This window comes from Homo sapiens, chromosome 8 (genome assembly GCF_000001405.40).
Source record: "Homo sapiens chromosome 8, GRCh38.p14 Primary Assembly".
NCBI classification, from domain to species: Eukaryota; Metazoa; Chordata; class Mammalia; order Primates; family Hominidae; genus Homo; species Homo sapiens.
In genome coordinates, this window is record NC_000008.11 from 18,262,073 (window position 1) to 18,275,394 (window position 13,322).

Consider the following 13,322-nt stretch of genomic DNA (forward strand, 5'->3'; position numbering starts at 1 on the left):
GGTTAGTCCTAGAAAAATCCAATCACAAGAGGGTCTTCCCAGTGTCACAGATTAACAGGTCTCATACTGGCAGTACTCTACAAATTTGTGGGATACTGGAGGATGCACAGACACCCATCCTTAACTGTCTGAGGCAGCAAGAGTCTTTTGCTTTCTTAGCCTATTCCCGGCAGGAAAATTTTTTTGGCATCACTGGGACTGCCTCTTCTATGCCCTCTCCAAAACACTTCTTGCTTGTATGGTAAAACTTACTCTAAACCTGGAAAATTACCTCCTGGGCTTTCCATGAAGAGGCTTATTGGATTGAGTCACTATTGGAACAAGGGCACCCTTGGAAATTCTAATTATCAGGGGCCAAGAGATGAATCCTTTAAATTAGAAAGATCTCTAAATTAAAAAATCAAAGATGTGTAGAGAGCTCTCTCAACAATTACCTCATTTATATTTATGGAAGGAGCAAATTAAAAGAAAGACACATGTTGATGTCATGGCTAGCCTTAGAAATTAGCCTACTGACTAAATTAAAGAGCAAAAAATCTGACCTGAAGCAAAGTTAAAATCCTTTAAATGCTCAAATGCTGGCTTTGGATCCTCTGTGGGATTTACTACAAAGGCACTTGATCCTATAGCCCAGTGATTAGGATTCTTTGCTTTTACTACCATGACCTGGGTTCAATACCCAGTCAGGGAATCAATCCCTTGGAGGTGTAACTCCTTTAACTCAAAAGAAGAATTGCTTTGATATTTGTGTGGCTCTTGACTTTTTGGAGTACCCATTTGTTATTGATCCTTTCACCTTCCACGGACAGCTTTTGATTTCCTGTCTCACTGACTGTCTCTTTTAATCTTCTACAGATAGGGCACACTAGAAGGTCAGCTTCTGTGTGCAGTCAGCTGGGAAGAATGTGGCCTGGAAAATATGGCCAGACAAAAATGTGGGTTGTGCCCACTGGTGGTGAGTGAAACTTTCCTTTCTCTGAGCTGCCTTTGGGATGGCTCTGGATCTTGAGGGAAATGCCTTGCATCTCTTTGGAGATATCTTACATGTTCTTAATTTAGTTGGTTCTGAGTCATTCTGAAGGTTCAAAAGTCAGGGATACTGTCTGTTTGTCCTAGTGAAAGCCTGGTAATAAGAGATTTGTATAAAAAGCTTTTTTAAGAGCTCCACAATCAGAAATCAGCTTAATTAAAAGCTGATATTCAGGCTGTAATTTTTTTTTTGTACAAAAGGTCTTTCTGCTTTTTCTCTTTTGGATCCTGTTACTCCTCTGGGAATTTTTTTTCAGGTGAATGAAACCCTCTTTTAATTATACGTTTGGTCCTTCTGTTCACATCCTTTCCTGTTGGCATGATTTGTGCTGAGAAAAAAAAGGTAAGATTTCATTGGCCTTTTGGAAAACTTAAAATCTCTCCAAACTGGTTCCGCCTAAGACCTATTCTTCCATTTCCTTCCACTTCTCCTCCTCCTTTCTTTTTGCCATCTTTGATATCACATGGAGGAATCGAAAAGGGACCTCTAGAGACTCTGATTCCTCTTGAGGAACACAGTCAAGGTACCAACGACCACTTTTGGGTCTCGTGTTTTTCTCATGGACACCCAAGGGTCATGAGTGGTTTCTCTCAGGTCTCAAACCTCTATTCTCTTTTGCATTGAGTTCCCTGATCTCTTGGGCTTTTGAAGGTACCAGGAATTACTTTGTGCTGTGAGACAGCACTCTCCTTTGGATGTGCAATGGCTGACAAATCACCGGCAAGTGCTGTGGTTTTGGAGGCAGCTGACAGCAGTTACAGTAATGGTAATTACTGCAGGGGGGCTACTGGTTTCTTTGTATGTCTAGATTTAAAAGGTGCTGTTTGGATACTTGGAGGCTGTGGGAACACTTGGTATTAAGAGATTAGACTCCCATGGGGGATGGGTTGATCACAGAGTGGGCTGATTAAGGTTGCATTGACCTTGCAGCAAGGTGCACTGTGGAAGTCCTCCATCGCCCCGCCCCATTACATATCCCTCTTGGGCTTTTGCCTCAGCCCTGGACAAAGGAGTCAGTGTACATAGTCAGTGTACACTCTTCAGTCTGTACATAGGAGTCATTGTAAAAATTGATCCTTAATTTCTGGAGATCTAGGTGCTCTGCCTTCCAGCTGCACCTGCTTTTCACATATGTAAGTATTAGTTCCAGAAAAATGCAAGTGTTTTGCTGGCCCTATTCCCTGATGAACTCCACCCTAAGATTAGTGGTCCAGTTGAAAAATGAAGAGTAAATTGGAAGCTACCTATGTAAATAAAATTAATCTCCTTATAGAATCTCATGGTGAATTACCAAGATTTCATGTTACCTTAGCATCCACTTTTTAATCTTTCTCTAGCACACCAAAACCCCTTATGAATGATTCTAGACAAGAGATTCTCAAGGGCGGGAACTAGTGCCCATCATTAATGCAGCACTTGGAGGCCAAGGGAAGCACTGCATCTGTACTTCCTCCAGGCAGTAACTTCGGATATATTATACCAGTATTTACAAGCTCAGATGTGCATACAGATTAGCTGTAGAACTTGTTAAAATGCAGATTCTGATTCCTTAGATCTTAGATGAGGCCTGAAAGTCAATGCTTCTGGTCCACAGATGACACACTTAAACACAAGACATTAGGGCATATGTGGTGCAAGGCAAATGAAAACAGCAAATTAAAAGAACCAAAAGGGAACTGCTAAAGTCAGACATAACATAAAGACTACTAAAAATTCAAAATAAACGCAACAGAGGCCCAAGGGACCACCAACACAGCTTTGCATCAATAGCTTTATTTCATTACAATTTTTATGTATTTGGTCAGGATAATTTGCCTTTGCAAGATCACTGGAATACAACAGGAAAATGAGAGTCACCCCCATTCTTCTACATGACAAAAATAGCAGTAAAATGGAGAAGATGAGCTGATTGATTGTGTTCCAGAATAAGTCAGTTCCAAACAGCATCATCTAATACCATTCCCAGCTGCCCAAGACAACAATTTATGAACATAGCACTTCAGCCATTGCTCCTGTCTGGTTCTGAATTAGATGCAGAGAGTGCTAAAATGGAAAATACTCTGGTCACCCTACCACCTACAAGAGAACAAATGGAAATGCTTTCTGTTCCATAGTTCATTAAGAACTGAAGCTCCAGGTTGTGTTCCCTGGTTTTGGCTGAATTGGTCCTTTTTCTTTTTTTCAACATGACACCCCCACTGTGCTTAGTCATATTTCCTTGTGCAAAATCAAGTAATTCTTATGTTGTAGATAAAATTGTTCTCCAAAAATCTTGCCTCTTTTTGACTTGTCGCTTTTGCTTGCACTATTCTCTGTATATAAAATACTCATTACCGCCACCACTATCTCACTTCACGTGTCCAAACACCCTAGCATTCCATGTCTGGGTTCAAGTGGAGTCTAGGAAGATACAATTCTTTAAAGCCACCATAAATCTCATCATAGAAATAATTCCTCCCACTTTTGAACACTTGTAACCTTTGTTATATATATTACTGATCAGGGGATTTTTATTTTCAGCCTTTTATTATTATATGCTCATGCCTTATCTTTCCAACTAGATGGACCATTGCGTAAGGGCAAGAATCAGAGTTTGTATTTACTTCTTGGTATCCCCTGTGGTACCTGTTCATTGCAGAATCACTATCAATAAGTGCTATTTACTGTCTAATTACATAGCGCATGGACTGAGTGCCTTGTGAAATCTTTTCTCCAAAATTTAAGTCTTCTTCTCTGTCCCAGCTGGAAGTCCAGCTGCCTGTAATGTCACTCCATATTCTTCACTAATTTTCACTCATTCTTCAAGCCTTGCTTCCATTCTCATCTCTCCAAAGCCTTCCCAGCCCATCCCAGCCATCACTTTGCTTCCAATTCCTTACTCCATTTAAAGCTCACTGTCTGCATAATTTCTCTGGCATGTAAAACACACTGCCTTACAGTTTGCCCAACTTTTCCTTCATCTTACATCTTACCAGCATCACTCAGTGCTATCACAGTACCCACAGAATGATGGATATTGTCCAGGGATAACCCAAAAATGCAATACTGAAAAAGCAGAAACTCTGGCTAGGCAATTTTGATACTCCAGTGAGTAGCAAGAAGTAGTGTTTCTTTCATTTTCCAGCTAATCTTCTATTGGTGGGTGTCTTAGTTCCTAAAATGAGGGCTAAAAATATAAAAGTTGGGGTTTTTCAGTCATCAAATGAAGGAAAGCTGTAAAGTGAGGCTGGAAATATTAGTCTTACTGTAGTCTTCTCTGGTCAACATTCTTAGTTTATGAATGTTAATTTTTCTGCTTGTAAGTAATATTACATAGTAACTTCTCAATTTATTCTAGGAAGATGAGGCATTTCTCTTTTAAAACAAACCTATCCAATTCTAGGGGAAAGGGGCCAAAATCAGGGCTTCTCCTCATAATAGGATTAGACTCTGGGGAGATTTAAGAATAAATTCTGCGTTTGGGAGGGATGCTGAGAATTAGGCACCAGAGGCTGGACTAGAGTAAGCAGACTTTTAAAATGTCTTCCAGTGATCCCCACCTCCTGGTATCAATGCCCTTGTATAATCGCCTCCTCTTGAATGTGGGATGGACCTGGTCTACTTCTTGTAATGAATAGAATACTAGCAAAAGTAAAGTCAGTTCCAAGGTTAGATTATAAAAGACTGTGACTCTTCTGCTCTCTCACTTGCTCAGGTTGATGAAGTCAGCTGTCATGTTTTAAGTTTCCCTATGCAGAGGCCTACATGGCAAGGAACTGAGGGAAGCTTCTCACCAAAGGCTGGAAACTGATTCCCTCTGTCCAACAACCTGTGAGGAATTCAGTTCTGCCAATGACCACATATGTGAGACTGGGAGTGGATCCTTCCCCAGTTGAGCCATGAGATAACTAGAGCCCCAGCTGGCCCTTTGACTACAACTTGTGAGAGGCTATGATGCAGAAGCTCCAGCTAAGCCACACCTGAATTCCTGACTTACAGAAATTGCAAGGTAATAAGTGTTATTTTAAGCCATTGAGCTTTGGAGTAATTTGCTATGCTGCAGAATATATCTAATATACCCATGAAGGAACCTTTCTTTTCATGCGCAGGAATTCAATAAGAAGCCTCTATTTTGCCATAACCTAATAATTTCACTTTAATCTTAAATAGTCTTACAAGTAAAATACATGATTTAGACACATTTTGAGGACGTTTTCCAGAACCCCTTCTGAACTGCACCGCAGGAAGGACCACAGCTCCCTCCCTGAACTCCCCGATTAAATAGTGTGAGGGAAGTCCATTTGCAGGATGACGAACGGTGCCTATGGTTTGACTTGAAAAGATAATTTTGATTTATTATGCTTTTAGACTAGAAATTTGGGATTGGTAAAAGAAAAAAACAGGGTCAATTATCTGTAGAAAGTAATGTGAAGAGATCATGATGTATGTATATGTATACATGTGTGGTGTAGTGTGTGTGAGACAGAGAAAAGAGAGAGAGAGAAAGAGAGAGAGAGGCTGTCAAACATCCATGTCCTTTCTAATGAGGAGACAATGAAATATAAATGTAAGCAAAAGAAACCAGCTGGTATACGTAGAGAGAAAAGAATGCAGCTGATAAGCAAAAACAAGCATATGGTCCAAGAGAGAGAAAGAGAGATGAAATAAACTGATAAACTCTCTTGGTTCCTGATGGCTATCCATAAGACTGGCTCTACAGTAGTTCCTGTCATTCATAATCTCACTTCTAAGCTTGCTTTACTCAGTCTCTGTTGTTTGTGACTTGTAGAACCCTGATCAGTATAGATGGCTGCCCACATACAACAATTCTCCTACTTCTTTGATAATTTAAATCTTCATTAAGATGTGCAAATAGTAAATAAATAAATTTAAATCCCCATTAAAATGCACATAAAACTAGTGACTTGAGTATCTAGAATTCAGACCCAATGTAGGCTCACGGTGTTAGGGATTGAGGATAAAGTATTTTGTTATTGAAAAGATCCTGGTTTAGGATCAAGGAATATTCCTAAATGGTCCAAGAAATTCTTTCTTGCCACTCACCCCTAGCTTCTCTAGTAAAGCCCTGAGGAAACTCTATGTAAAGAATAACAGCCAAATGGGAACCAAATATATTAATAGTTAGACAAAGGTTTGATATCACAACAGTTTTCTAGCACAAGTTGAATGAAAACACATAGTTTAGGCTGAAGGTCTAATAGAGATATTCTTCCCCAGAATATATGAATCATGGAATGAACTTATAGTAAATTGTTGGAAAGGAAGAAGAAAGGGAGAAGGATAAGTGGCCAGGCCCCCAAATAATCTGAGTTTTTTACCAAACTTCTTAGAGTGAAGATGAAGAAATGGTCCACTTGCTCAAGGAAGTAGGTGTGGCTTGGGTGTACTGTGGGAGCAAGCTGGTGGGCAGTCAGGAGAGAGTGGAATTAAGTAGCGGGGCACAGCACAATGATGGCCTTTTAAGGCCCCAAAGCTGACTGCTTTGGTTCAACTCCCAGCTCTGCCACTTAATTGATTTCAGGCAAATTACCCAACCCCTCTGAACCTCCTTTCCCTAATCTGAAAATGGAGCAAATAATAGAGTGTCATTAGGAATGTTGTGAGGCTTAAATGAGTTAATATATGTACAATTCTTAACGCAGTAATTGAGTAAATGCTTGTTAAATTCTAGCTGCTGTTAGAGGAGAGCACTTGAGTCACAGCTTGCACATTTTAATACAAAGAGACTCCCATTTACCAGCAAAATCGCACGAATCTTACCAATCATAAAGGAAGTTTTTCACTAAGAAGGGAGTTGAGAAAAACACAGACAGATATAGGCCTGGCAGGTGGGAGAGCCATGACCTCCATTAGCTAACACAGTGTGATGTTCTGAGCTCTGAAGGCATTGAATGGCAGGTGGAGTTAAGGTGAAGAAGAGGAAGTCAGAATACAGGATTCAATGGGAATTTTAAAATGTAGTATTTCCCTGTCCAGGACTGTGACTATCCTCAAAAAGTCACCAAGAAATCAGGGTCCCTTTATAGTAGGTGAACAGGAAAAGAGATTGCTGCAAACTCAGAGAAATGTTCTAAAGCATAAATAACATTTTAGGAATTTCAAGCAAATGTTGCCTCTAAAGAGAGTTTCCTTTATAAATAACAATTGTCCTTTCCAAGGCATCATTTCCATTGAAATAGCCTGCACATTAAAGAGAACACAATCTTCCCAAGTAAAAATACGCCTCTTCTCCCCACGTATCTCTTATTTGGGAGTGAGTGGGCAGCTCTGTTCTGAAAGAAAAACTAAAAAGGCAAACATACCCACTTCCCTTCTCAAACACCTTCTACCAAAACAGGCACAATTCCAATAGCCCCAAATTTACTACACTCTCCTGACTTGGTGCAGGTGTTAATCAAGAATTAGACAAAAGAAAAAAAAAAAAAAAAGAAACCCAACCACCCATTACACAAAATTTGGCATAGTGACATTGGCTATGATGAAATTTTTAAGTCAAGGAACCAACAGCTTACTTTAACATTGTCCCTTTAAATGGCCACGTTTCTTAATTATGCTTCACTAAACACAGTTTCAACCATGAGGTGTGTGTGTGTGTGTGTGTGTGTGTGTGTGTGTGTGTGTGTGTGTGTTTTCTTTCAGCTGGATCTACCTCTTCCTTTGAGAATCACAGCCTGGACTGCCATAGAGCCATCCTGCTATTGATTTTTTACAAGAATTTCGGGATGTGGTACGGTGCAGACCAGTCTTTCCTAATAAATTGACACTGGAACGTATTTGCTTTTATTTTGATTATTTGTCATGGGTTCCCAAATTGAGTTGGATTAAGAATCAGACCAAAAAGCCAGTCCCATAAAGTCCCAATCTAATCTATAAGGTAAACATTTTTAAATCACAAGAAATGTATTAGAAAGGAAGAAAACTACATTTTCCCAAACTCCTCTCAGGGAGGGTAATATGTGATTAGAAGGGATAACTTGATAATCTAGAAGCTGGTAGAGGGTAAATAATGAAATCCCCGAAGGGCAAACCTTTTCCAAGAGTAAGGTATGGGCAATTTAAAGGCTTTTTGTTATGCTGTGTAGGATACGAGCTAGGAGCGAGAGTTGCACTACTTCTGTGCACAGCAGCTGCTTAGAGCAGAAACTGAGCTTTTCTCACCCTTCCCCTATTTATCTTCAATATTGAATAAATATCTGAAGAAATTCCAAATTATTAACCTGCCCAAACACGTATGCCTCAACCTGTCCTGAAACTTCTCCATTGATCTCAAGTACTGCAGTAAAATCCAAAAATTCAGTTTAAATTTACTAATTTAAACATAAACGTGTGTGTGTCGTTTTTTTTTTTTTTTTTTTTCCAGCACTTTTGGTAAAGATGAGACCATCATGGAATTCAACAAACAGTATCTGTCCTCAGGTAAGTGGGCTGGAGAATGCATCAGCCTTTTAAACTTTAACAACTGAAAGACCTATTTGCCTCCAACACATCTGTTTAGTGAAGCATTTGGATTTCTCTTCAATCAACAGTAACAAGGTGACATCAGCAAGTTGGTAGAATAGGACTTCTGAGTGCTGTCCACATGTGAAACCACCTTCATAGAAGATAAGAAATCTAGGGTAGAGATCGCAGCACCTGGATGTAACCCAGGAATAAGGAAACATACATTGAAGAGGACATGAAGAACAGTTTCACATTAAACATGTCACCCCTCCCTCAGGCCTGAGCATAAGAACTTTCAACAAAATAGGTTAGAAGTAATATATTTTAACAAAGAAGGCTATACATGACATCTCTACAGCTGTCTTCATAGTCAGTACTAAAGGGCCAAAAGCCTTCCTCTAAGATCAGGAACAAAACAAGCATGACCATTTTCAGTAATCCTATTCTATGCAGTACTGCTCCAGACAGAACAATTAGGCAAGGAACAGAAATAAAAGGCATCCAAATTGGAGAGGAAGAACTAAAATTATCTTTGTTTGCACATGATGTGATATTACACATAGAAAATCCTAAAGACACCACCAAAAACTGTTCAAACTAATAAATGAATTCCATAAAGTTGCAGAATAGAAGATCAACATATAAAAATCAGTAGCATTAAAAAATCAAGCATTAAAACTTTGCAGCATTGAGTTATATCAGAATTTAGTATTGGAAAATACATGAGGCCCTATTGTTAGGGGCACATGCCCTTCAGTGACTACTTTATAAGATGTCAATTTATGTTTTACACTGGAAGTGAATCTGATCGTCATTAATTTTCAATACATTTGACCAAAGCAATCCAGTCAATTCAGTTAGAGTTGCCAAATGCTATAGAATGTGTAACACCTTATTTAACTGTTTTAAACTTGCCCAGTGAAACAGGTACTTCTATCACTGGATATTTCTCCAGGAATGTCCCATGAGAAAAACATGTTTCCTTATAATTCTTTAGCTACTGTTTTATCAGCCCTCTTGCATGGGAAAGCTTTTATGCAAACAGAAAACATGCATTGAGAATGATGAATGAAATCCCACCATAAATGTTTAAATGGCCTAACAGGTGGCAAAAAATGTGCCTTAAGTTTTTATTGTCTTCCCAGGAATATGGATTTGGCAAATCAAACATTGGTCATAAGCCATTTTAGCAATTTAGAAGAGTTACCATACCAATATGTATTTTTAATTTGGGTCACTTTACTCTTCCATGATGAGCTGTAGAATGCAGAGCTTTTAATAACAAGAGCTTTAAGGACTCAGGAAGAATAAGGCGGCCAGCCAGGTTCTCCATGAGTCCAGGCTCACCACTGAGCTTACGTCCTCTTAAACATCTCTTAAAATTTTTGTTTCTCCAATTTAGGTGCATAGAACTGATAACTGATGGGTTATCACAGGTAATTTGACTTGGACCATGGAGTTTATTCAACTGCATATCTGAACAATTTCAATACTGGCTGATTAAGTGTGAAAATCTGGTAAAGTATTTTCTCGCTATTCAACTAATTTTTGTTCTGCTTGGGTTAGCAGTATTATAAACCAACCAGTCTCTTCATTACAGTTCCAGGAATTCTTACCCAGTCCAAATGATATTATCCTGAAGTTATCAGAAATCTGTATCTAAGAGTGCTTGTGAGGGTCTTTTCCATCTGTTTCATGAACCTCCTTAAAGACTCAATATTCTAGGATTTTGCATGCTTGTGAAGTTTTCAGAAACTGCATCAGAATTAAGGAATTTACTGTGGAAATGACTTAAAAAAGTCATAGTTAAAGACACAATTGTTAAGGAAATTTGGTTATTTCTGCAGCCTACAATTTACCATAGTAGCCATTATGTTATTATGTTGGTTGCTATATCAGTCGTAATTATGACTGACAAAATACCCAGACATATTAGAATGTTAGAAATCCCATACAATTTTGGAACCTATATTAATAACATATTCATTAAAATATAACTCGAAGGTTAGACATCATTTCTTATTTGACAATGCTTCCTATATAATTTAACATACCAAATAATCCTGTTTATCTCTCTTTTGTATGCTTCAGGCACCCTCTGTAGCATCCCACAGTTAAAAGCCAAAAAGTACTTTATTTTGAAGCAAAATTTTGATTTTGGGATGCCTATCAAATATGTCAAAGGTTTAAAACACTTGACCAAAATAGGATTACAGGTTACCATAAAATAATAGTCATTCATTTAGCCGAAGGAGAGATGTTGGTCAAAGGATAAAAAGTATTCATTAGACTAGAGGAATAATTTCTGGCAATCTATTGTATATCACTGTGACTATGGCTAATAGTAAGATATTGTAAACTGGAAAATTGCTCAGAGAATAGATATTAAATGGTCACCACAAAAAAAAGGTAAGTTGAGGTGATGGATATGTTAACTGGCTTGGTTTAATCGTTTCACAGTGTATAAATATATCAAATCATCACATTGTGTGCCGTAAATAAATTCAATTTTCATTCATCAATTATGCTTTCATAATGCTGAGATGATAAAAAACAAAAACAAAAATTTTTACTCCCACACACACACACAAATCAATAGCATGGAATGTCAACTTTTCAAGCAGACACCCTTCAGAGAACTCAGCCATGCATGCATTAATGTTTAGCCAGCTCTTGCTAAAGCTCACTGGAGACATCTGATATTTGAGAGAGGCATCAGCAGATCTGTTGACCACCTATTTCTAAATGCTAACCTTTTCATTTGTTGTCAAAATATCACAAAGCAATACACTGGACCACATTTTTTCAAACTCCTGCAGAAATGTCTTTAATGTGTTAAAGTTTAATACTTTTCTCTTACTCTCTTATTCCCTTTGTCCCTCTAAGGCTCATGGCAATAAAAGTTTTTTTTTTCCTAAGGATAACATCCACTTCAGCTGCATTTTCTTTTTCCCCAGCCTTTAGTTTCTTCATTATAATTAATCCCATGTTAATGCTTCTCTATCTTCCACAAACTGGACCTGAGAACATTACCTGATACGTTACTCAATGGCCTTTATAGATAGCTATTCATTCTAGATTCATCCCTGCATTCAATTACAAAAATAACTGTCTATCAATAAAATTATTTTATTTCAAAAGATGAAAACTATGTAATTCATTTAATTTTTGTCTTACCTATCAGGGCAATGAGAGCTAACTTCAGTGCATATTTTCTAAAATGACTCATTTCATATTGTGCTGAGAAAGATCATAGATTGGTGCCACTCCAAGCTCCACGAGACTTCCGCATTGCCTGGCAACCCAACTATTTCCCTAATTTGCTCTCCCCAGTTCATAAAACTTGAATCAATTTCTTCAATCTGCTTAGCTCAACATCATCTACCTGCTTGCCATAAGCCAAAATTAAAATCCTAAGCCCCCCACCCCCAACCAACTGAATATATTCCCTCTGGGCCAAGGGAACCCCAGAGAAACCTGAAAAACTGAATTCCCAGCCATTGTCAGAGGCGTGTGAACCAGCACAACTCCATCTTGAATAGGAGCTGGGTAAAAAGAGGCTGAGACCTACTAGGCTGCATGCCCAGAAAGTTAAGGCATTCTAAGTCACAGGATGAGATAGGACGTCGGCACAAGACACAAGTCATAAAGACCTTGCTGATAAAACAGGTTGCAGTCAAGAAGCCAGCCAAAACCCACCAAAACCAAGATGGCCACGGGAGTGATCTCTGGTTGTCCTTACTTGCTACACTCCCACTGTTATGGGCGGGTCTTTGTTCTTAGAGCTCCCAAGATGGGGCAGGCAGCTCCCAAGATGGCGGCAAACCTTTTGTTCTCTGACCTGGGGTTCTTGGCCTCATGGATTCTAAGGCATGGAACCTCGGGCCATGCTGTGAGTGTTATAGCTCTATTAGAAGCTGTGGGTCACGGAAGAGAACCGTGGAACCCAGCGACTAGTGTTCAGCTCGATTAGGACGAACCTGGGCACTTAGCCGTGCAGGAACAATGGCGAGGCTTTAGCCCGATCAGGAGTGGCAATGGGCGCCTCAATGGATCAGCAGTGCAGTGGACACCCTGCTGGATCCTGAGGGGTGGAAGTCAACGGTGGGCTGGGACAGCAGCCAACAGCAGCGGTGGACTGTGAGCAAAAACTCAGGTCGAGTCGTAACAAACACGGACCAGAAGAGCGTGCAGTCGCAAGATTTAATAGAGTGAAAACAGAGCTCCCATACAATGGGATGGGACCCGAAGGGGGTTGCCCCCACCAGCCTGAGCACCTTGGGTTTATATCCTGATTATTGTCCTTCCTCCTGTGCTCTCAGGCATCTATGATTTGACTATTTCATTACCTCCTGCTTTTAGCCTAATTTGTATTTTTGTGAGCCCTCTTTACTGCTTGATTGGTCGGGTGTGAGCTGAGTTACAAGTCCTGTGTTTAAAGGTAGGTGTAGTCACCTTTCCCAGCTAGGCTTAGGAATTCTTAGCCTAGGCAATCCAGCTAGTCCTGTGTCTCACCACCAGCACCATGACAGTTTACAAATGCCATGGCAATGTCAGGAAGTTACCCTATTTGGTCTAAAAAGGGGGGGCATGAATAATCCACCCCTTGTTTAGCATATCATCAAGAAATAACCATAAAAATGAGGAACCAGCAGTCCTTAGGACTGCTCTGTCTATGGCGTAGCCCTTCTTTTATTCCTTTACTTTCATAATAAACTTGCTTTTGCTTTGCACTGTGAACTTGCCCCAAATTCTTTCTTGCGTGAGATCCAAGAACCCTCTCTTGGGGTCTGAATCGCGACCCCATTCCAGTAAAATATTCAGTCAGTAAGACAATGTTTTTTAGTAGTAT

The 13,322-nt window shown here is 39.4% G+C and overlaps 1 pseudogene, besides 1 other annotated feature; it reads left to right on the top strand.

Moving 5' to 3' along the window:
• Positions 622–691, top strand: TRK-TTT17-1 (tRNA-Lys (TTT) 17-1; annotated as a pseudogene).
• Positions 12,458–12,957: an enhancer, noted in NCBI's record as "H3K27ac hESC enhancer chr8:18132039-18132538 (GRCh37/hg19 assembly coordinates)". NCBI's record gives its function as "activates a minimal SCP1, AML or CMV promoter by ChIP-STARR-seq in primed H9 embryonic stem cells {active_cell/tissue: H9 hESC(primed)}" and the evidence as "EXISTENCE:reporter gene assay evidence [ECO:0000049][PMID:30033119]".